The following is a 26,064-nucleotide window of genomic DNA, read 5'->3' as shown; positions in this document are numbered from 1 at the left end:
ACAAAGATTTTTTGCTTGGCTGCTCTTTTCCAAGCACTGTTCTGTTCCAGGCATTGGGGATTCAGCAACAATAGAAAGAAAAAAAAAAAGAAAAAAAGAAAAAAGAAATCAGACAAGGAAGGCCCTGTTCTTTCAGGAGAAATGGATTTAAAAAAAAAAATGGGGAAACAAATACATAAATGAAATAATTTCAGTTGGAAAAGTGCTCTGAAGAGAATAAACTAAAGGAAATGAGGTGGGACATAACAAAGTGCTGGAGGAATGCAGGGAGACAATCAATGTTCCTCCAGCTCATGATAGTCAGGGAGATCTTCCTGAGGCCATGGCCATGGAGCGGAAACCTGAAGGATGGGATGAAGCCAGCCAGGCAAAAAGAGCACTCCAGGCAGAGGCCCTGGTCAAGATCCAGACAGACTTGAGAAAAGACCTTCTTGCTTACAGTGAGGAATGAGACTGGAGGGAGTTAAGAGTCAGGGAGACCGAGAGTGAACAAGAGTGAATTTAGAGGACAGGACGGGCTCATATATGGTGAAGTGACTGGGTTTTATTTTACATATATTAGAGAGATTCAACCCGAAGCATAATGTGGTATATGATTTATACTTTCAGACACTTGTTCAACAGTAGCACTCTCCACAGGTGGGATTAGGTACTTTTTTGTTATGGGCGCTGTCACATGGCAGTGTAGGATGTTTTGCCGCATCCCTGGCCTCTCCCTGCTAGATGCTGGTAGCAGCCTCCTAGGTGTGACAATCAATATTATCTCCAGGCATTGCCATGTGTCACAAGACAGGGGACAAAACCTCTTCCAGTTGAGAACCACTGCTGTAAAAGTATATCTTTTGTTGCTATACAGAAAATTGACTGGAGAGTTGGAGAAGTGGGGAGGGCCAGGGTGGAAGCTAAGAGGCTCCTGTGAGGCTATTGTAGCAATCCAGGGGGAAAAGTCACTTGATGGTGGAGCAGCAGAGACTGTCAAAGGGGCTGGGAGGCAGGGTACCTTTTGGATTTATTTTGAACAGGCAGAAAGTGTTTTGGAAGTTAAAATGACACAACTTAAGTGACCTGTCAACCATATATCTCAATTTATTTGAGAAACACTGGTTTCCTCCTATTTTCCTGGTACAATTATTTATAGTGCCCCTTTCCATTTCAAAAGTATCCTCTTTGGACAATAAATTACAAAATTACATGTTTGCACTAGGGATACTTGAATGACAGGGCTGAGATATCCATTTTATTTTCCATATTACCTTTCTCATTTAAGGGCCTTTCATTTTCAGTCTTTCTCACCTGATGAAATGAAAAGAACACAACAAGTAGATATTTATATAGAGTAAGAACTAGATTAATTCAAAGGGGGATAGAAGCAAAATATTATACACACTAGTCTACTCATTTATAGTGTGTTAAATATAGATTTATAGTTTAAATTACCGTTCATTTCTGAGCTTTTTATAGATGGCATCTGGGTGAAAGAGAATGTGGCACATATAATAGCGATGTACATATTTGTTCATTCCATTTAACATATCTGAAAGGGATATTCTTTTCTTGATTCCATAGGTTATGTAAATTACATATATAGTTAGACATTTTAACAAAACGTGAATTTGCAAAACATTTTTAAACAAACCGTCAATTTAAATAGTGTAATTTTCTTATTTTTACTGTACACGACTAATTAGTTTTTGGAGCCCACCCTTTTAGTAAGGTTGAGGAGGGGTTAGCCCCCATGTGGACTGGGAAGGACACTTGCCAGCAGTATTTTTTAAAATAATGCATTATTTTTGCCACACAAAAGAAAAGGAGAAGAGAAAAGAAGGTAAGGAGAAAGAAAATTAGTGTCTCAGCACAAATTCATCTCTATTGCTGGAGATAAACGAACAAATATACAAGAAAACATACATGCCCAAAAGACAATTTGTGGGTATACATTATATTTAAAACAGAATGGTTCACCAATGTTCAGAGTCTCTTCTAGTTATTTGTTTTCCATTATTGTGGGTTAAACTACTACATTTGAGGAAAGTTCTCTAATTTAATCTATACTTTAGCCTTGTGAAGTTGTTACTATTTAAATGGGTGAGTTCCCTGACCCCCTCATAGGGGTGTGGCTTGTTTATTTGGCTGCTGGGTGCTCAAATCCCTTACAAGAGGGGAAGCACACAGATGGGCAGGTGCAGGAGCCAGGGCAAGTGCTTTTGGGCTCTGGCCCCACGGAAGCATCTAGAGGTGTGTTACAATTAATACTCTTTTAGCAGTTGCTGTCCGTGGGTGGCTAAGTGTTAAACAAGCTCAGTGGAGAGTCAGGGTCACAGTCTTTTACACCCTGCCTTCTTGGTACCTGGCCCCTTTTTCAGTACCCAGGAAGAATCAGGTCACTCGGAATTAAAGGATGGTGAATGCAGGGATTTTATTGAGTGGTGGAGGTGGCTCTCAGTGGGATGGATGGGGAGCTGGAAAGGGGATTTAGTGGGAAGATGATCTTCCCCTGGAGTTCGGCCATCCTGTGGCCAGTCTCCTCTCTGACCATCCCCAGCCGAACTCCTCCTAACGTTCATATACTCCTTTTCTCTCCTTCTCTGCTGCACTGCTGTGCTGCCCTGCTGCTCTGCCGCTCTGCTGTTCCTCTGCTCGTGGAGCCTGAGGTTTGGAGTTTATATGGGTACAAGATAGTGGGGGACATGGTGGGCCAAAAGACAACATTTGGGCATGAAAACAGGAATGCTTGTTCCCATTTAGGGCTGCGGGTTTCCAGGCTTGAGGGTGGGGCCTTTGCTGGGGCACTGCTCTCTTCTGCCCAGTATTTCGCTGCCTACTGTCCATATCACTATTATCATCACCATTACTCAGACAAAGAACATGAGACTCAGAAACGTTTGAGTAATTTGTACAAGGTCACATGACTCCTCACAAAATTCCCATCTAGGCTCCTCTAGATCCAAAGTCCTTCTTTTTTCTATTTTACCTCTTTAACATTGTAATATTAGCGAGAAAAGTTCTGTTTTATAGTTGGGAAACTGATGTTTAGAGTGGTGAGAAATTTGCTCGAGGTCCCACTCACAATTAGTAAAGAAAGGCCTTGAATAGAGGTCCTCTGATTCTTAGTCCAGTTGATACCATAGTATTTCAATGGTTGGAGCGCTCAAATCCAATGAGTTACTCTAGCATTTTCACTAGATTCATTTTCTCAGATTGTCTCAGGAAATTAAGAAAAAGTATTTTCACTTAGACCAAAGGAAGAGGAATAATACAAATAAGCCCATCACAGAGACACTGGAGTTTTAAATGTGACAGTGTATGTTCTGGCTTGAAGCACAAGCTGAAGATGTCTTTACTTTACTATGCCATCTACAAATGGTGATCTAGAAGAGTGCTTATAATTACACAGTGATTAGTAGAGTTTGAACAGTACGAGACTAAATCCTGGTTTGCCTCTTAGAACATTCTGAGTCTATAATGGTATCTCAGTTGACTTATGTATAAAATTTATATAAAACGGCATCTATCTCAAAGGATTGTATTGGACTAAATAAGACTTTCTACAAAAGTAATTCAAATAGTAAATGCTCACTAGATACTAGTAAATATTATTTATGAGTGTTCCTACAAAAATTTATTTGACTATTTGTCCTCTTTGTAGCTTTCAATAATAAAAGGTGTTTTTGAAGATATCTTGACAATTTATAGCTGGATCTTCCCTTTTATGCATACATGAAACAATTACTTTAGATTCTTTTCCAATAACCAATCCACATAACTGTCTTCCTTCCTTTAGATTCATAGATATTTTTGAATCACAGAGAAACTTAAGAATAATCTGTTATCCTCTTATTTCCAGACATGTAGCCTATAGATTTCAAAGTCTAAGGACTGACCAGAAGTCACACAGCTATGAGAGCAGAGCTGCGACAGGAATCTGGTTCTTAGCTCTTTGTTCTTCATTCTCTTGCCATAATACCATTTTATCTACATAATATGCCGAGCTTATTCATTTCTCCAGTCTATTTTTTTTTTGTTTCAACAAAATGCAATAGAGCAGAAACAGCTCTTTTTATTGCTGTAGTGGATGGAGTTCAAAGGGAACTCAAATTTTAGAATTATCTTTTTTTTTCTTTGCTAGCCAGCCTTTCCCAGGCTGCCTTTAAAGGTGTCTGGAAGCTAAATATGTATCGATAGTAGGTTTGCCTGGGGGAGATCTAGTTCAGTCTAATTGACCCAACACTTTCAATTCATTTCTGCTGAACAGGCCTTTGATATGAAGAGATTTATTGCTCCTCTTTTTTTTCCATCTAGAGGATAAATACAGCCTGAGATCAGAAAAGCCTTCTTGTAAACCCAAGAAGGTTTTTCAGATTAATGGGTTTTTATTTGTTCTAACTTGTACTGGGCTTTAGCTCTGACCCATTGCTGTTTTCAAATAAATTTTATTTTAATTTACTTTTACATCTTTCTTCGATCAGCTGACCTATGTCTCTGCTTATTCACTAATTTGTGTTAACTGAATATTGTTTAAACCAATGGATTAAGCAGGGAGTCTGTATTGCTTAATAAATTTGCCAGAAACTGGGTAAGTCACTTTGCCACAGTTCAGGGAAATCATGAGTGTTTTACAGTTCATTCTGGGAAAACTTATGAACCCATACAAAAGAACAACTTGCTGTCTTGGACTTTGAACACCACAAAGAACTATTCAATTAGAGCTTCCATTCAATCATAACTGAAAACAGTGTTGGGTGAGAATATGCTCACTTGCAAATGGGTAGTTGAGTAATTGTCTCTTGATAATCCCTTCTTGATCAGTTCTGTATGTGCCCTATATTTTTCTTTCTTTCTTTCTTTAGTATTTCATCTTATTCACAATGTCTGATTACAATTTAGTCCCACGCTAACAGAGACCTTTTAAAGATTCTTTTCTTCCCAAGGGTCTTGACCAACTGGCTTTCCGTTGTCTTCCACACCCATTTCATGTCCAGCGTTGCATCTCCACAGCTGCTTCTTCATATCTCTCCCATCTTCCCTTAAAATGATGTGTCCTAGAAAAGACTTCAGATAAAAATTGTTATTAAAGACTCCAGGCCCCAAATATAACTAATATGAATTAATATGAAATAACTTATGTGAATTAATGTGAAGACAAACACAACCAGAACCACCTACCTCCATCTCCATACCTCCACCCCTACCCAGTATATATCAGGATATTCTCTAACTGGGCCCAAGAGAGTCTCAATAAAGGTGTTCTCATCTATTTTAAAAACCAACCATTTACATTGTACATAGCACCCTGGTTGCAAAAATTAACAAAATGTGATCCACCTACTGAAGGAGACATGTAGCCTGCTAAGGATGGAGGTAGAGCTAGAGGAATTTGGAAGAACCGCACATAAACCTGAAAAATAGAGTTGACTTGCGTGTACCATGTACTTCTGTGCTAAATGTCATTTCTAGTCCATTTTGAGTGTCTTCTGAGTGAAACATAGAATGCTATTCTTGCTGTGGGGTGCCATTCCTGTTGTGATCTCACCAAAATTCTAACACATACCAGTTTGCTCAAGATTTCTACACTTACGCGGGGGAAATCATATCATTATAAATGTTTCTAAATTTGCAAACCATTTTGAAAATGACACGTATCTTTCTTTGTACGCCATAGGCTCTGATCAATATAAAAACAGAGGCATACATAAAGAACTATTAAAACAACTAATGTGTAATCCCAGCACTTTAGGAGGCCAAGGCAAGGGGATCGCTTGAGCCCAGGAGTTCTTCAAGACCAGCCTGGGGAATATACTGAGACCTAATTTCTACCCAAAATAGAAAAATTAGCCAGTTGTGGTGGTGTGTGCCTGTAGTCCGAGCTACTTGGGAGGCTGAGATGAGAGGATTCCTGGAGCTTGGGAGGTCAAGGATGCAGTGAGCCATGACAGCCACACTGCACTCCAGCCTGGGCGACAAACGAGCAAACTAACTAATGGACAGGCACTGAGCCTTCTTCCACTTGGTAAGAACTATGAAATTGTGACCATGAGAAATGTAATGTATTGTCTTCCTCTTCTATTTATTTTTTGCTTAGTTTCTTAGCTAAAATGAATTTGTATATCCCAGGGAAGAAAATCTGAGGTAGGGCTTTTCCAACTGTTCCTAGAGACTGAGTAGGGCTTAATGGTTGACTAACAAATGAGCAAAGTTAACTGGATCTATCTTAGTTGTTTTCACATTTTAAGTTTTATATAAGAATTTCAATTCAATTTCAATTTCAATTATTCTGAATTCAATTTCTTATTCTATTTATAGATTATATTATTACTTCAACAAGAATGTACTTTTGCAAGTGAAATCCACAATCATGCTAGAAAATGAAGAGTACAAATATTGTTACTTTTAGACATAAATTGAATTAAATCTAAACAGCCAAGGTGATTTTTAAAGAGTGAACAATGTTGATATGACCTTTCAAACTTTCATCCCCTGCTCTTTTTTGTCCAGTACTTACTATTTTAAAATTTTAATTTATTTTATATATATATATATATGTGTATATATATATATATATATATATATATATATATATATATATATATATATATATATATATTTTTTTTTTTTTTTTTTTTTTTTTTTTTTAACCTCAGAGTCTTGCTCTGTTGCCAGGCTGGAGTGTAGTGGCGTGATCTTGTCTCACTGTAACCTCTGCTTCCTGGGCTCAAGCGATTTCCTTGCCTCAGCCTTTCGAGTAGCTGGGACTACAGACGAGCGCCACCACACCCAGCTAATTGTTGTATTTTTAGTAGAGACAGGGTTTCACCATGTTGGCCAGGTTGGTCTCGATTTCTTGACTTCATGATCCACCCGCCTCTGCCTCTCAAAGTCTGGGATTACAGGCATGAGCCACCGGGCCTGGCCATTTATTATAATTTTTAGATCCAAAAACCGAATTACAGATGTTTTAGCAAATTTAGACTTATCAAAGATTAAGGTGAGATAGAGACATATACTTTTCTGAAAGAGTCTTTCTGACAAAGTTTTCCTCTCATTTTATTTCCTCTAAATTGGTTTTCACACAAAGCAAGATGACTATCTTTTTAAAATATGGAGTTTGGTAGAAGAAGCAATTGACTCTCTCTAACTTCCCATAGCCTTTCTTCTTAGTACGAATGATCTAGTCAGAGGCTTTTATTTGTCAGAGGTCCAATGACCACCAAAAGATTTGTCATATCACATCTTATAGCAGGAATATTTATTTGGGAGGCCAAGTTAGGAGGACTGCTTGGGCTTAGGAGTTCAAGACCGGCCTTGACAACATAGGGAGATGTCATTTCTACAAAAATTTTTAAAAATTAGCCGGGCATAGTGGTGTGCTCCTGTAGCCCCAACTACTAAGGATGCTGAGTTGGGAGGATCACTTGAGCCCAATTAGCTGAGGCTGCAGTGAGTAATGACAGCACCACTCTACTTTAGCCTGGGTGACAGAGTTGAACCCTGTCTCAAAAAATTAAAAAGATGGCATAGTTTACTAGGGCTTATGAGAAACAGAAAAATGAAACATGAATTAAATCTTTTAAGTTACTTTCTGAGTTTTTTCAATATGAAAAGTAAAACAGCAAATGACTTCTAAATTGCTTTGAATTCCTCAAACATTCATGAGCAGTTTGGATTAATTTTATTGCACATTTTACCTAGCATGAATAAAAGTTTGAAAATTAATTTTAGTTTTGCTAATAAAATGACTGCAAAATAACTTCCTCAATGTGCTAGTAATCAGGACATTTATTCATGACTCTCAGTAGCAAATGCTGGTAACCCAACTTGCACCACCTTAGGCATATAGATTTATTGGCTCATCTGATCAAAAGATGCACAAATCAAATCACACACTCACACCCTATACAGGTGTTAGGGACAACTGGGTGCATGAGCAAAAATGTTCTCCAATTTTAGACGCTTTCAAAAAGGAGAGCAAAAAATATTTAGCTTCCTCATTGCAGTGATGATTTTCCAGGTGAATAGATATGTCAGATCAAATTATACACTTTAAGTATGTGCAGTTTAGTGTACTTCAATTATACTGCAATATATATTTTTTTAAAAGGGAAAAAAATGAGAGAGAAAGGAAAGGAATGGAAGGGAAAGGAAAGGAAAAAGAGAGAGAGAGGGAAAGAAAGGAAAGAGGAAAAGGGAGGGAGAGAGAGAGAAAAGTGGGGAGGTTCCCAACTGAAGTTTCCCGAGTTTACCTTAAAGGGACTGAGTCCTGCATGCTTTTGCCACAATCCCAAGAGCTCTAACTGCTCTGGCTCTGGTCAACAGCCATTGCTGGGCTGTTGCTATGGCCAGGGAGGTGGGATCTCTGAGAAGATGGCCATTCCTATCCTATCCACATGGTTAGAAAAACATTTTTAATGCCCACACGCAAAAAAAGGAAGGTGCTGTTATGATTAGAGAAAAGAATATTTGTGTCCTATGTTTGGATCTCTGATATTCATGGGCAAAATATGCAAGTGAATCTCAAGTTTATAGCATGAAAGAAAAGTAGTGGTTAGAGAAAGGCTGGTAAAAGTTATATCAATCGTTGTTGGGGTGTGTGTGTGTGTGTGTGTGTGTGTGTGTGTGTGTATGTGTGTGTTTAATATGAAAGGATTAAAAGCCCATGGTCAGGATTTTTAAATATTAGGAAAGTTTCTTGATGAAAAGTTCCCATCTATTTTCCTAGGGCAAAGCACCTTGTGAAGAGGAGTTGATTGGGAAGAAAGGGAAGGCTGACATTAATTATGTAATTATTCTCTTTTTTAAATTCAGATTTAAAGGTTAGTTAATTATTACTTCTTAAGGTCCTCAATAACCTTCACCAAATATTGCTATTTAAGCAATAGACAAGCTTTGCTGAAAAACTGAGGAAAGCAAAGTGGTAGAACACATACACATCCAGTGTTTCTGTCTTTTCCTAACTTGACAAATACTGATAAAATACAGAGAATGCTGTAATTTGGTTGGGCCAGGGGAATATCAATTTAATTAGTGTAATACCTTCTGGTTTCTTTCCATTTTCTTTTTCTTGGGATAGCTCTGAGTCATTAGCTGGTAAACACAAAAGGAGAAAGGGAAAACAAAAGAGAATAACTAAAGTTTTATTTTTTAAATCTATCATGAGACAGACACTTGAAGACTTTACGTCGTCTTCTTTAATATGAACAACACTTTTTTTTTTTTTTTTTTTTGAGAAAGGGTCTGGCTCTGTCGCCAGGCTGGAGTGCAGTGGCGGGATCTCGGCTCACTGTAACCTCTGCCTCCCAGGTTGAAGCGATGCTCCTGCCTCAGCCTCCTGAGTAGCTGGGACTACAGACATGCACCACCACACCTGGCTAATTTTTGTATTTTTAGTAGAGACGGGGTTTCACTGTGTTGGCCAGGATGGTCTGGATCTCTTGACCTAGTAATCCACCCACCTCTGCCTCCCAAAGCGCTGGGATTACAGGCGTGAGCCACCATGCCAAGCCATGAACAGCCCTTCTTTATTATCCTTGTTTTACAAAGAGAAACAGGCTTAGAAAAAATCCAATTACTTACATTTAATCAACATAGTAAATGCTAAATCTCTCAAACTCCAAATTCCATCATGTTCTTTATATTTTACTAGGCTGTTTACCATTTACAACCTGACTGAGTAAGGAAGAGAAAGAGCATTGAGGATACTTATTTAATTCTACAAATTAGTATGGGTAAATTAATTCCAGAAGTCCTACTCTCTTGCACTCATAGTCTAATCTGTCCCTTCTTCTCTTGTTTCCTTTTCTCTTTTACATTTTCAGATAGCCAGGAGCTTCGGTAGGTAATTCATCTTTACCACCCACGAGATAATTCCTATTTCATGTAAAAAACAGAATTATCCCCATTTTATGTAAGAGACATGAGTCCTCAATAACTTACATGATCATTAATTGATGGATTCAAATTCAGATCTAACACCAAAAGTCAGACTCATTCCATCTGATAAACAGAGAATAATTATGTGTTCCATTTATGAAAGATTGTATTCTTAGGGGGTTTGATGTATAACCTACTCTAAAAGACTCACTTTAACAAATATACAGTTAGGTCTTAATTTATGCCTGTCACTAAGCTAGGTCCTTGGCTAAAAAGAGGACTAAGACATTCTTCATCCTTAAGGGACTCATAATCTTTTACAGGAGACAGAGCTCTCCCATATAAGAGAAGTACATACAAATTAATACCTATGTGTCTAATCTCGAGAAATCCTTTTCTTATTCTAAAAAATACACACATACACACATTCTACTTCTGTTTTAATTTGTAGTCTCTTACTTAATAAAAAGCCTACGTTCTTAATGATGAGCTCTCAGGTTTAGCAATTATCTTTGTAGTATTTGTCTCAAGAGTGAAGAATTTCCTCACAACACTCATAAAATATTTTGAAAATTTTCTGATTCAATTTTTTTCCTAAAAATATGTATCACTTTCAAAAGAAACCTTGATTCTAAAGCTCTAATGTTTCTTTAGTACTAATATAAAATGACATATTCTTCTATAATTTTAAAAAGCTAAGTCTTAAGTGAAAAAAATTATAGATTTCAAACAAACAATCTAAAAAAGTTTGCTCTATTAGACTTGTAACAAATTTGGTTAAAGTCTTATAAGAATTTTATAATTATTTTCAGAATGGAAACAACTTTTCATTAATATAAACTGGCAAAAATATTTTTATGATCTCCCTCTGTGCCAGCATGAAAATTAACTCTAGGCAAAGCCAAGCTGGCTTTCCATGGTTCCCAGGTAGTTTAGGTTTCCTTGATACTCAAAATATCTCCTTGGTAGTTTAATTTCACAATTGAATATTTAGCCCTATGGTGTAAGAGTTGTTAATGCTTCTTAAAATGTAAATAAGCCAGAGAAAATAACATCTTAAACTTTGCCAGTCCAGTATCTACTAAATCTAAGCATACGTCTATCCTTTGATATTGTAATAGCTCAATTTGATGTGTAACCAGCAGAAATATATACATATGTTCAAAGAACTATAATGTTCTGACAACACTCTCTTAATAGCACCAAATGAAAACTATTTAAATAGTCATCAATAGAAGACTTGATACATAAACTGTAGTTTATTCCACAATGGAAAATGCAGCAATGAGAATGAATGAACTGCAACTACTACAACAATTCAGGTGAATCTTACAAACGTAATGCTCAGTTAAAGAATTCATACACAAGAAAATAACATGCTCTATGACTTCATAAATACAAAATTCAGAAAAAACTCAACAGTAATCTTTGATGTTAGAACTCAGAAAAGTAATTCCCCTGTATGGGAGTGAGATAGTGACTGAAAGTGGGCAAAACAGGTTACTTTGAGGGGGCTGGTAATGTTCTGTTTTTTGACCTGAGTTCTCATTATACATACATGTTCAAGTTGGGAAAAAAAACATTAATCTGTCCTTTTTGATTTGTGCAGTTTGTGTATGTAAGCTTTACCTCAGTAAAAATATAAAAATAGGAAAAACAGAAAGAAAAAAACCACAAAGCTTTGCCAGTCATTATAATTCATATCAATGAGATGAATGTGTTTTTTTGTTTGTTTGTTTTTACTAAGGTGTGTTCCAGAGTCAGAATACTCAAATACGAGGTCAGAATTAGCACAAAATACAGGTGAACCAAAAAGGAAAGGTTATCAGATGCTGGCTATATACACAGTTATACAGGTGAAGACAGAAATGGGATCAGTGATTTGCCAAGAGTTCATTTCATTTCACCCTAACTGGGCTTTGATCTCCAAGAGAAAGACAATTTATTTCTAAGTGAACACACTCATTAACACCCGAGCATCCTTTATTCTCTCTCTCTCTGTCAATCTAGGTGGAAAGTTCTTTGCTTCCAAGTCATTTCATAACAACCTCATATTCTGTAGGTACACACTGAATTAAGATTACCATTTGGCTGCTTCTTGGTGCAGGTCTGTCTTTCTAAACACAACTTCGTCAAGTACCATAACTGGCATCTTGAGTTCTAACTTTACACAAATCAAAAAGTACCTTTAAATATTTCTCACGTGATAAACACGCGCGCACACACACACACGTAAGCTATGCAATCTCCACATCACAGTGCTTCTGGTTTACTTTAAATTTTTATTTTATTAGCTGTCTATTTCCTTCTGTGTGTTTACGTATGTAACACTTGTCCTAGTAGTAACTGATTCAGCTAGTTGGTGGGCAGGGAACATTGGTAGCCACAAGATGCCATGCTTAGCCATAGAATAGTAAATACAATTCTTTGATCTCCTAATAATCAAAGATTTTTACTGCCTTCACCCAACATAACTCTAGCTGAAAGAGAGCAAATATCTAGCTGTTTGTTCACTTACTATGAATATTGTTTTCCATGTCACTAAATAGTAATGGAACAATTTTTAATGGGAAAATTTTATTCCGAATTCCAGATTTGCCTACTTCAATTAGTTGAACCTCTACTATTGGATATTGAAGCTATTTTCATTTTTGCTTCTACAAAAAAAATCTACATAGGTATATTTTGCACACATTCACAGTTATTATCTTTGGGAAAATTTTAGACGTAGATTTGCTGAATTAAAAATTATGCACATTTTAAGTTATTAACTTGATAGAATCATTTTTATCTTTCTTCAAGTTTTCCAAAGGGATTAATTTGGCTTTAAAATAACATCATCAGTCATAATTGAATTCTCAAATGCTTCTCTATATTGAATAGAAATAAGTTAGCGCTAACTTTTTTTAAAGATATAGACTGTGAGATGGAAACATATTACAAAGTAAGAATTCTTTTATTTTGTTTTGTTTTGTTTTGTTTTGTTTTTGAGACGGAGTCTCCCTCTGTCGCCCAGGCTGGAGTGCAGCCGCGGGATCTCAGCTGACCTCAAGCTCCACCTCCCAGGTTCACGCCATTCTCCTGCCTCAGCCTCCCGAGTAGCTGGAACTACAGGCGCCCACCACCACGCCTGGCTAATTTTCTGTATTTTTTGTAGAGACGGGGTTTCACCATGTTAGGCAGGATGGTCTCATTTTCCTGACCTCGTGATCTGCCTGCCTCGGCCTCTCAAAGTGCTGGGATTACAGGTGTAAGCCACCATGCCCAGCTAAGAATTCTTACAGACAAAATAGGTAATAGTTCACCTGGGTAGATTCATAAATGATTGAACTTCTGCATTCAATGTGTGCTGCTTAACAACAGTCAATACCAATATGTAAGGTGGTCTACAGTGCAGTGCCATGGGAGGCTATATTCATTCTGCCTTGTCCAATAGTTTTATTAATCATTTTAATAAGAGCACTGACTTGTATTTTTGCATATTGATTATATGTTTAGTTGACATTGTTTAGGGCAAAAAATCTAAACTTTTGGAAGATAAAATTCTAAAGAGACTATACAAACTAGAATGGTACATAAAATTTAATATAAGGACAGTCAACTATGATAAATTTGCTAATTATGAGGAACGACAGAAATCTATTAGCAAATATGAAAATAAGAAGTTTTATTTTACCAAAGTTGCATAAGAGGTTAATTGTGGTATAGATAATCAAGTTATTATGATTTGAGATTTTGTTACTAGATACATATACTTTGGAATGAGGGAGGTGATATCACAAATCTACTCTATGAGTCTCATACCAAGAACATTGGCAGACTAGAATTTATTCAGGGAATAAAAATTATCTTGGTGTGATTCCCTATCAAAGATGTTAATGTTTCATTGGACAATATAATGCCTTTGCAACAAAAGTCATGAAAATAAGAAGTGAGGGAGGGGAAAATGGAAAGGAAATATAAGGTGGTATCTCACAGAGTAGTTCAGAGCCTCATAAGAAAACAGCCAATTGCCTGGTCTTTTGCGAGGTCTCCAGAGAGATACATAGAGCAATCTGTATTGAAGATGAAGAGTGACTTACTTGTGTGCTTCTTCCCATATCTTGTCCATATTGGGTTAAAAGTTGTCCGACAAACTATTACATGTTCTGTATTTCCAGCCTGAATTTGCCAAGCCTTCTGGTTAGCCACGTAGAGGCCAGAGACTCCATGGATCTGGTTGCTTTGGCATTGAGCCCAGAGCTACTGGACCTCCTGTTGTAGTAGCTATGATGAAAACCTTGTAGAAGCCCGTATCTTTGAAGAAAGGTGCAACAGTTGGAGATCCTAGGAGTCAAGGCAACAGAAAAAATGAGCAGGGCTCTCGTCATGAGAGAACAGATTACAGGCCCATAAATTGTATCCAATATAGTCTACTACTTGAGCTACTCAGATGCATTTTCACTCTTTATCATATCCATATTTCATATAAGAACTAGACAGTCTCACCCCTGAGATGAAAAGTGCAAGAACATTCCAGGAATATGGTGACAAGGCAACCTCCTAAAAATATTTAAAGAAGATTAGCCAACCAAGCCACAGTCCCTCACTGAGGTAGCTAGACCTGGAACTCCAATATGTATCATTACCCTCTTTTATTGCTCCTTCTAGATTTCCTCATGTTTGGCCAATATTTTGGCTGGTCTCTGTTGCTTGATAGATGGAATAGTACAACATCCATTTTTCAGGGGTCTTCATTTGCCCATTCACCATTATTCTTAGCCGTGGAAACAGAGTTTCTCAATGAATATTCTGGGTTCCAGACAAAATCTACCTCTAATATATAGTGGCAAACCTATTTCTTCACAATAATCAGAGCTCATTATCCCAGTCAGTACAGAATCTCCCTTCTTTGTCTACTGGCTCACTGGTATGAGGTATAAAAAAATGACCAGGTGAATTTAACTTCTGACTTAGTAGGAACTTTTCTGTGTCCCCTTGTGGAAGCATCCTCCCTGGGAATTGGACTCCTAACTGTAGGGATGAGAGGTACCAATTTTACAAGAGGATCTCTCAGAATGATGACAGGGGCTAATGATCTTCTATTTTCACTCCTTGATTAAAGCCATATGCTTTGTTCATTTGGGACACAGCACCACAAAAAACATTATCAGTTGCTTAGCATTTAGGACATCTTGAGGTCAAGAGAGGCAGGAGGCACTTTCTTCCCATTCTTGCCTTTTGTTTGTCAGAGTGCCTCATCCCATCTTAAATCCTAGGACTTCTGGTTCTATTGCCAATCCCTCTGGGAACCTGGGAAAACTAGAGTCTTCATGGGTCCAGTAAGATTGGACCTGGGCACTGGAACTGTTATAAGTAAGGCTGAGAAAGCTGGTGCTATTAGGTGGGGATGTGGTGGCATAGGGCCAGATGAATTTGGAAAGGCCTTATACAGTGAGGAGTATAATAAGGAGAACTAGTATATGTCATACGAGGACCTCTGGGAAGTATTACATTCATTAAACTCCAGGGACGGGATACTTAACTACCTTCACATGTTTAGTCTCTTCAGTCAGAAACTTGACAACCATTTATTGAAGAATCATATGAAGGAATTTGAATAGTACCTTGATTCAAGCTCTGTAGGTGAACTTAATCATTCTGCCCAAACATGAGGCTGTGATTCTTAGGACAGTAAAGCTTCACTTATTAGTTAAAATTTTGAGTTTCAACCAGCCTAAAAAAACCTAAATAATGCACAGAACACCTTTGGAAATCTCTGGTGTAGTAAAGCCCCATGACCAGTTAAATCTATTTTTGTCTAATGAGATTGTGTATCTGAGTTTTTCTTCCTGGGACATAAAAGAGACTAGATTATGAGCAGAACCTGACTGCAGCCACAGGTTGAAAGTGATAAGTTATACTAGGTGACTTCAGCCTTAGCTGATGTCCACCAGCAAGCTGGCGACACTCAATATAAAAGTATCCAGCCCCCATAACCTGTACAATATGACCCCAAAGAACCATTAAAAAAACTGCACTTATGGTTGGCTTACTCTACTTCCATGTGATAATGAATATTACACTATATTTTAGAAAAGTCTTTTTATCATATCTAGTTAAACAAAATTATTTTGTTGACAAGACTAATTTAACTTAATTATTTGTAGAACACTTACTTTAAGTGAGTCCTTGTTTTCATATACAGAATATGAGATAGATGCCTCGAGGGTGCAATAAATATTTATTGATTGATTATGGATGCATTTAATGCAATATCTAACCAATGACTATATTCTTTTTAAGTAAAGACTAACTTGCCAGGCAAGAATAAATATTTCTGCTTTATATGATTCTAAAAGTGCTCTAAAATTATAAGGTATAATTTTAAAAGCATCAGCCATTGTTTCATTTATCTAGGTATGTGCCAAAAATCACAGAAGAACTTAGTGATTTAAAAGAACAACAATCGTACTACTACTTCCAAAGTTTTTTTTATGGCTCCCAAATTTGGGTGGTGCTCTCCACTGGGCAGTTCTTGCTCAAGGTCTCTCTGATATGGTTATGGTCAGATAGGAACAGCATGGGGCTGGAGTATCTGGGGTTTGTCCTCTCACGTCTCTCTCTTCGGGCAGTTTCAGGGCTTTTCCATGTGGTTCCTTTGCTTGTGCTAGGTTGGGCTTTCTTACAGCATGGAGGCCTCAGGGTAACCAGATTGCTTACATTGCAGCCGAGGGCTTCCCTAATGAATTCACCTCAGAAGTCATTGTTCATAATGGCCACAGAGCCCCACTGATTTCAATAACAGAAAGCATCAATCCCACCTCTTGATGGGAAGATTGTCAAAGTCACCTTGTAAGAGGGGAATATGGGATGGGAGATATTGTTGCAGCCATATTTGGAAAATCCAGTCTACTACAAACATGTTCAAAATGTGAAAACTAAAAATTACTTGCTGCCATAGCTATAATAATGTATCCATGAGAGCATGTTTACGCTGTTGCATTCCACAGAAAAACACTGATATTTTTCTAAAAATTTAAACAGTACCTTTAAAAAGGTGATAATATTCAATGTAATCTGCATATTCTTTAGGTTTATATAATTCCACATGTTGGGGATTAAAAAGGCAAGGAGTAACTAAGAGCAGATACCCTTCTGCTTCTCCTTTTCTGTTCTTGATTAGAGAATAAAATAGAATTCTTTTGGAGGAAAAGGAACTTAATTAATATTTTGCTCATGATGAGTGAATCTGGAAAGCAGTGAAGAACTCTTGGCAACTTCTCATATTGTGTAGTCTGAGTGATGACAAGCACCTCCAGAGTGGGTGACCTAGTATATTATAAAATACATTGTTCAGAAATGAAGAGTCTGCACAACGATGTGTTGGACGATTCTACGGGGTCCTCATAGTGGCTGGGTTACAAGTGCACAAAAGCAGTCTCAGAGATTCTTCTGTGGACCCTCATAAGAAGGAGAAAAATAAGAAGGAGAAGGAAAGGGAAGGAGAGGGGGAAGGGAAGGAGAAATAACTAAAACTTCTAGCTATTGGGAAGAAGAATATTCCTGGCTTTATCTCAGTGCATGCAGTTAACAGATCAAATCAATATCTTCTTTTTAATATTCTTATATTTCACTGTAACATAGTTCAGCTCTTAAGAATTACTTTCTTTCTGCTTTCCCAAATTTGACTAGCATTCAAGTGTTTTTAGCTATTGTGGATTTTTATTGTTATAAAAGTAAATATGAAAAAAGAGTTTTTATTTCACTAAATTCTTTTTAGGTGTGTGTGTTCACATATTAACAGTTTTTTATTGACTGAAAATGGGTTTATTTTCTTTTTCACCTGTAAATGAAGATTGTGGTCCCCAGTTTGAGATCCTATCAATTTTACCCTTTGGATCAAAATGGATTAAAAAATAAAAACATATTGCTTGTTTTAAGGAGAAGAGAACAAAAAAAAGATGGTGCAAGTGGCATATTCATTTTAGACTGCTTATTTCTATAAGATAATGTTGACATATGAAAATTTTTTCTGAAGGATGTTTTTAAAAGCATAAACTGTTATTTGGGGTTTTCTCTACCTGTGGTGTGGTATTTAGAGCACAGTTATTTTGAAAACTTGATTTTTGTTCCACTTCAGTAAGGGAATTTCAGCCTTAGTATAGACCTGTAAGTAAAAAGTCAATTCCTAATGTAGATTCCTTTTTAAAAGCCACTGAAAATCCAAGTGTCAAAGCGGGAGAATTATGACTTCGTAATGTGGCCCTAGCATTAAGAAATGATTCCTAAGGCAATTTCAATCTGCAACATCTTTTTAAAAAATTAGTAAGAAAAATGACCTCGCTTCTAATTCGTTTTCCCAACATTGATGTATTTGACTTAGCAGTGTCTGGATCTAAATTAAGATTAGTCTCTAAAGTACCTTTTGGCGAAGGAAAACTATAATGATTTTATTACTCTTTTACATGAACCAGGAAAGGAAATTTTACAAGCATGAAGAGGTTCTTAAATACAGCGGGTAATGGAGGAAAATGAAAGAACAAAAAGAAAAAGTAAAATCAAGATCTTTTTTCCATTGCATTGTTTAGCTTCCCACATCACAGAAAGAAGTAAGGCTATTTGCTCACTTAGTTAATCTCATTTTTCCATTATCAATCCACCGGGCGCGTTTTCAACTAGTTTTAGCTGGAGCTGTAAAATGGACTCTAGAGTAATGTGAATGAGAACAAACAAAAGGGGCTATTCTCTCATCACTGCCTGTGTGTCATTCCCATTAATGTCAGCAGGGATTATGTACTCACATGTAGGAAAATGTCTGTTTACAAATGGAGTGGATGCATTACTCTTCCTGTTACCACCATTTCCATTCATTGAAACTGGAATGGATTTGTATGGGGTGTGTTTGTGTTTGCTTCAAAAAGGCATTATTTTAGAATGGGCCACTAATGTCATAAACCTAATTATATTCTTTTTTTCTTATATACTAAAGTAATACAACTGGCTTTACGTATTCATTCTTCTCTTTCTGTGCCCTACCACCTAAACCTGAAAAAAAAAAAAAATACAGGCAAAGCAACTGTTCAACTTCTAGCTCATTTACATTATTTTTTTAAGGCAAGCAATATAGTTGAGTAATGCTAAACTCAACAGATTGTAAATGGAACCCAAAGTACCTTGTTAAGACAAGATGTGTTTGCTGTCCACTTAAGCACTTCTTGTTGCTGGTAATTTTCCCAAAATATCTGGATGTAAGTGATGTAGCCGGTGGTACTTAGGCCATGGAAAGAGCTGTGACCTATATTTTCATGCTTTGGATTAATCCTTATTCTGCTTTGGGTATTGATATTCTCCACTTACTCTTTTCTCATTCTTTCAAAGTAGGTACTCTCAGCATTTTAAACACACACACACACACACACACACACACACACACACACACGCTCTGCTAATACAGAAGCTGCAGATTTGTAAGCCTGCTGCAAAGATCTCTGACTTGTCTTTGAACAAAACACATTGGTGTGATTAACATAATGCTGTATGTTAGACCTCTTGCTTGCTTTGGTTTCTGTCAGTGTACCAGTCAATAAGGCTAAAATTATACAGTCGGGAGTTGTTTACTTTAAAGCTGCTTGCAAAATATCAGGAGACTTTTTAAAGCATTAGCCACCAATTTAAGAGAAAATGAGTGGTAGAGAGGTCAGGGGGAAATATTTACTTGGGAAGGTCAATTGAATATTTGAAGAGAGTAACAGGTTTGGCTTCTAGGGTCATGTTAATGTACCTAGTTGTCTATTTGATCCTAAATAATTAAGCTGTAGAAGCAGGAGGTTGCAGAGTTGGAGATTCGGTCCCCAGCAGGGATCATGCTCAACGTGGTTGGAAAATAGAAGGGCTATGTCTTCTATGTAAAGTATGGTTAGTTGCTAGGGCAGGTCATAGCCTGCTGTCCTGAATGCTTAGTCTGGACTCCTATACCAGAAATCAGGGCAGTCACGTCTTCCTCTGTAAAGCTATGTGGTCAACATTTGTCCTTTGATTTTTATTTTGTCTGTTACTATCACAAATGCTATTGACTCTACAGATGACTGCTCGAGAAAGTGTATAACCTGGTGGCTTTTTGGAAGAAAAATATCTCCAGTCTTTGAGTCTAACACACATTCCAACATAGTTGGCCTTCTTCAAATTGAAGTACAACCCTTAATGTGTTAATTGCAATTACTGCACTTGAATTATATCTATGGCAAACGAGCACTGACATCTATCAAATTAACTTTTTTTTAGTGGAAGAATTTGTGTCTTTTAAAGTGATTGTGTTATCTGCAAGAAAATTTATGCTATAAAAATAAGGGGGTGGGAAGTGGGAAAGGATTGCGCTTTTCCAGTAGTAATTGTACTGTGCTTGTGGCTGACATAATCCTCACAGATGGATGGCGGAGCTTTTCTTTTTACACATCACACTCTATGAGTTAAGTGGTCACAAACTTAATAATGATTAAAGTAAACAAAATGCTGTGTTTTCTATTTTAATATTAATTTGATTATATGTTTTTAAATGTACCAGATCCAAAATCCTCTTTTCTTGCATTATTTAATTTAAAAGTAAACTGTTTAATTGGAAGTTAAATAATTTTTGAGCCTCTATCCTCTGATTTAAGGAAACCAAAACCAAAGAATAAAATCAATTTTATTATTAAAAATTACATTTACTTGGAGACATTTTCTTTGTTATTTCTATGACCTGAACTTTTACTGGTTCTATTGGAAAAGTTCAGGAAGAAATTTAAGGTTGTTTTCATATATAAATCTTGCTTGTACTCACCATGAATCTTGAAAAAAAGTATATTTCTTTGCAAACTGATATTTATGCCTGAACTTTAAATATTATAGAATTTTAAATAAGGACTGGATTAACTCACCAGGTTCAGAATACTTTTCGGTTAATAAAATCAAACTATGTGAAATTCAATTTTACGTTAATGTGTATAATCATGGTTAGATTAGGGTATTTTGTTTTATGGAAAACAGAAAACCAAAACTCTGTTGACCTCAATCGAATTCAAGTGAACAAAAGGAATTATGTAGGGTTGAATGGAATGATTTTTACAAGTTTCATTTTTACTTCCCGGAGATTACTCTCAAAGGTGTTTCCGAGATGTTAATACTTTAGGTATCATCCGCACTCAAAAATATTTTAGATTTTGTAATAGCAGTCATTGTCATCACATAATGCAGAAAAAAGAAACATCAGCCAGCCTGGCTCTGGTATAATCATAATATAAAATATATTTTACATTTAATAAAAGTAAATTATGTGTTGAAAGGTAAAGCAACCTATAATTAATAGCAACTTGGCTTGCCATAGCAAAACACATCAAAGCAGTCTGTTTCTTATTGACTAATGTATGTGCTCTGGGCAATCGCTCCCCCTACCCGCATCCCCACCCACATCCCCCCGCATAAGGTGGGATCTTTTAAGTTTAATGGTATGAGATGTCAATTGAAAAGATTATTTTTAAAATATGATATCTGCTTGTCGTTAAATTTCCTGGATGATGGATGATTATTCTAATGGACTTTTAAACATTATAAGAGAGGCAGACAAAATTGTACACATGCATGTTTGTGACACAATTGCACAGCCTTCACTTGTAAGATGAACAGGGCACACACAGATACCTTTTGTGATTAAAAATTAAGCAAGCACACATTTCCCCCTTAAAGGAAAACTGTGTTTGTAAATGAAAACAATCCCCATGAACTCTGCATTTGACACTCCTCATGCCAAATGAAGAAAAAAAAAACAGATATATTTAAGATATTAGGGAGAAATACACATTTATTACTCCTGAGCATTCTCTCCTGTCAAATTGTCAAGGTACACTTCCACTATAGCCTAGATTATTCCTGTTTGTTTTTAAGGAACTTTAAAAAGGTTTGCAAAAGACATGGTATTGAAAACATCAGACACTAGAAAAAAAATTGTATCCCCCTTATAGGAAGTAATAAAAGTAAAACAAAATTGTTTAAAAATGTTTTCTAAAAGAGATTGGAGAACTGGACTAGAATGTCTTACAATTGTCTTTTTAGAAATGGAAGCCAAGCTAAAACTGCTCATTTTATTGTTATTTTAGTTGTAGTCGCTCCTTTTGTTGTTTTGATCTAGTTGAATCTTTTCATAACTGGGCCAGCCCACAGTCCAAAGGAGAACTGCATTTGCTAAGTATCCTTGCCACCTTTCAAAGGCAATGATTTGATAATGAGTTTATGCTGCAAGCAGGAGTTTGGGAGGAGTCAGCTCGCATATATTCCCATTTTTAGAAACTCTGTGACTAAGGGTTCACATAATTAAGAATTACACCAGAAGTACACACAGACCCCAGATCCTTCCCTGCTTTCCTAAATGTCATTTACTTGAAATCTTCCCAAGTAATTTACCTATTACAATTGTTCTAACTAGAATTTTAAAAACCCACACATTTTCCCTAATTTCTCTACCTCAATCTCTTCTAGATGATGCCCCATCTCTGTTTTACTTATTTTGTGTAATGTCTTTCTTCAAAAACTTTATTTTAAACAACATCCAATAGAGATAGAATGAAGGAAATGTGTTGTATATATCAAGATCATCTCTATAATCTTAACAGAGTCATCACATTTGGTTACAGCCCTGTTTTATTTTATTTTTTTCTCAAATGCTATTTTCTTACAGATGATAGCCTTTATGCATATCTGAATAATGGCTTGCTGTTTGCTGAAGAACTTCAAAAAGTATTCAGAGCAAGGCTTCATTTTCTGTGTATCATCACAGGGTAAGGGATTATTGTAATCCCCATTTTATAGACAAACCATTTGAGGTTTAAGTAACTTGGCCAATGCCTGTAAGTAGGTTAGACATTAAACTAGAGTAATATTTGCAGTTTATGATTTTGATCTCAGGCAAACTTCTCTGTCTTTTAGCAAATGGGCTTGTTTTCCAGTTTTCTAACCTGCAAGAACAAGGTTATTTGGTATGACTATCAGTAAAAATCAGAACTGAACTCATAATGTTAGATCATTTCCTGACCCACTTTTAACTCTCTTACAATCACTGAAATAGTTAAAAGTTTATCTTCCTGTTTGCACTTTAGTTTTCTTATTAATCAGAAAAACAGCTTTTGTTAGACTTTTGCAAGGGCCAAATATACCATTGCCAGTTCTATCAGTGAAAGAAGTGCTAAGTAAATAGCTTTTTTTTCTTGTTGTTGAATTAAATGTATGGATAATAATATCTACATTACCATACTCCCTTTAAGATAATATGTATAGTTTAGAATGCACTTAAGATTTTTCCTAAGTGATGACTTCAGGATTTCTAGACTATATAACATAAGGATTGCTAAGCTAAAATGTAACTCCACTGTACTAGAAATATTCATTTTTAGAAACCAGCTTTGCTTGTTATATTGCAATAGTGATAGCAGTTATAAGGCTGTGATACGAAATGTGATTTTCTTTATCAAGAGAAAAAAAGTCCATGTAATTGAAAAAGTTGAGTTTGTTTAAGCTTTTCATTTAAAAAAAGAAAAGCTCTGAAATTTTATAGGAAATAGTCTGGGATTTCTGATGTCAGTTACAACAGTTTCCAAATCATAAAATGGTTTCTTAATCAAAAGGCAAATAATTTTATGAAGTAAAATTAAGCTAGTTCTAGAAAAAAAATAAAGCAGCTTTATTTTAACCTGCCTTGAGCATTCCAATTACAATGTAAAAAATTAATAAAAGCCTTTTCTTCTATTTGAGACGTGGGATGTTTTATAGTTGACTTAAAGATTCTCATTTATAACTTTAATTGCTTGCAACATTCTGAATCATTTTCCTTTCAGTCTAAAAGTTTCCATAGTTAATCTCAGGCAATAGTAACTTTTTGTATTTTAAAAATATTTAAGGAAGAAATTAATAGAACTATTTTGGTGATTCTTATATCCTTTTACACTTAAAATATTATCCAAATAATTCAAAAATACACTCTCAAAATGTCAAACTTTCCTAAGGTCTTTAATTCAATACAGGATTATTGCTCTTTGAAAGTTTAAACATATAACAGCAATACATTTAGATGTTAGAAATACTTTTAATACATGAGTTATATAGCATTTCTACAAATCTCTAATGCATTGATTTTAGAAGCATACACTCCAACATTGTACACTCCATAATTTCATAGCACGGTAACAGAGAATGTTACAAATCTAGAAGACAGCATTGCCTAAAGGTAACATAATTAGAGAAATTTTAATTATATTTCACCAACTTCGCTTTCGCTGATTAAAAAAAACTTTAAAGTTGAAACAGTAAACGTTAAAGGCAATTTTACATTGCTAGTTTTAAGTGAATAATATGTAAATCAAAGCTGAAAAAAATGAGTAATTCAGGCACATGTAATATTCTTCTTAATATTATTGTAAGACAGCTACATGAAAGACAGAAGGTAATAGTTGCTAATGTATTCGAGATTCAAATAAATCGCCTAGTTGTGGTATTCATATTCACATTTTATGCAAAACTAGTTTGAAACAATGCATACATCCTATTTAAATAAAGCTCAGTCAAGCACTTTGATCACTACACAGAAATAAAGCAGAAAAAATAATTAGTAATTAAAATGCAAGTTCCAAGGGGGAATACCTTTCAGAAGAGAGCCACAGAAGCACCTGATTCTAAAAATGTCAGTTTTCATAACTGTGAGTGCCATTTGTTAGCAGGTGGAGGTACAATTTTTATAACAGCACTTGCCTGTCAATAACTTTATTACAAAGCTGGTAATTTAGTGAAAAATTTAAAAGAAACCTATTAAAATAATCTCTCACTCACCCTGTTAGCCACCATTTTAATCACTGCAGACAATATCCTTATTTAGTGATTTCTGCTCTCTCAGTTCTTCAGTGTTTTCAAAAATTAGTGACTTTTCTAATTTGTTTCTGTGAAATACTGAAATGCATACTCAGACATTATATATACTTTTAAAAATATAAACAAATACTTTACATGAATGTGTGTTACAGAGCAATATAACAGCATTTATAAAAACAGTAATATAACAAAATAGTTCAGTTCTTACCAAGGTGGCTCTTTTAATCTATCCACTATATCTGGCAAACATTTAAGATCTCCATGTGAACATAGTAAACAGGCAGAGAATAAATCCCTTCACTGTTATTATAAAACCATTAAAAAACTGAAATAAAATGCTGATTTATTTCATCAGCATTTATCTGAAATATTTTCTCAACCAAAAGATAATTTAAAATATACTTTTCTGTACCTAAACGTTCCTTTTATATTTCATCTTCCTTCCCTGGGCTAATGACTTTATTATTGGAAATAGCCAATTCAATGTTAGTTTCTCCAAACCCAAAAGTAAATCTTGAGCTATGTCCATTAGCTTTCACAGCCCCTTGATTTGCTCTAGGAATCGTTGCCTTAGACTTACCTTAGTAACCTTGAAAAGCCTTCACTTTTCTCCTGCATGAACATATATTTTTTAAACTCTTCTATCTTAATCTTTCTAGTTCTCTTCATTTTTACATTTTGGGAACTTCTATAAAGGCTCGTTAAGTACCAAATATAGTTGGTGGTTGCCCAATATTGACGGGTACCAAGTGTAAACGTCTTCTCTCAAATCTTTATTGAATTCCTACTATGAGAATTTAATGTATAAACTACTTTGCAATTTACATTCATGTTCCTGAACAGAAACTGATTATATAGATAGAATTCATAGCCATTATTGGGTGAATAAGTTAAGATGTACACACTGAAATGTATACCAGAATATCCCTTTTTTAGCATTCACTCTGTCCTAGGCATTATGTTTGATACTTTATATGTGGGATCTCACATACTCCTCATGATAACCAGAGACTTTGCAATTTTCCTTGAACTCTCTCTTTCTTTCCCATCTCATATCCAATCCTTCAGCCAATCCTTTGTTCTATTTTTAAAATGTATACAGAATGTGACTGTTTCTTACCACCTCCCCTTCTATCACCTTGGTCCAAATTTCCATAGTTTCTCACCTAGAATATGGCGTCAGCTTTCTATGGGGTCTTCCCTGTTTGTATTTTCTACAACACAGTCTATTCTAAGCACAGCAGCCAGGATGAGCTTTTCAAAACACAAGTCTGATTCTATCACTAATTTGCTTACTGCCCTCCGTTGACTGTCCATTTCACTCAGAAT

The 26,064-nt window shown here is 35.8% G+C and overlaps 1 long non-coding RNA gene across 1 annotated transcript; it reads right to left on the bottom strand.

Annotated features, from left to right (window-relative positions):
• Nucleotides 1–1,661: 1,661 nt before the first annotated feature.
• On the bottom strand, nt 1,662–26,047 carry LOC107986902 (uncharacterized). The gene is made up of 3 exons (XR_001745736.2): nt 24,697–26,047; nt 13,947–14,190; nt 1,662–5,049 (listed from the first exon to the last, which is right to left on the bottom strand). It is a non-coding gene; the product is annotated as an uncharacterized LOC107986902 (long non-coding RNA).
• Nucleotides 26,048–26,064: the final 17 nt, after the last annotated feature.

Source organism: Homo sapiens, chromosome 8 (assembly GCF_000001405.40).
Source record: "Homo sapiens chromosome 8, GRCh38.p14 Primary Assembly".
NCBI classification, from domain to species: Eukaryota; Metazoa; Chordata; class Mammalia; order Primates; family Hominidae; genus Homo; species Homo sapiens.
This window is presented reverse-complemented; position numbering and strand designations above follow the sequence as displayed.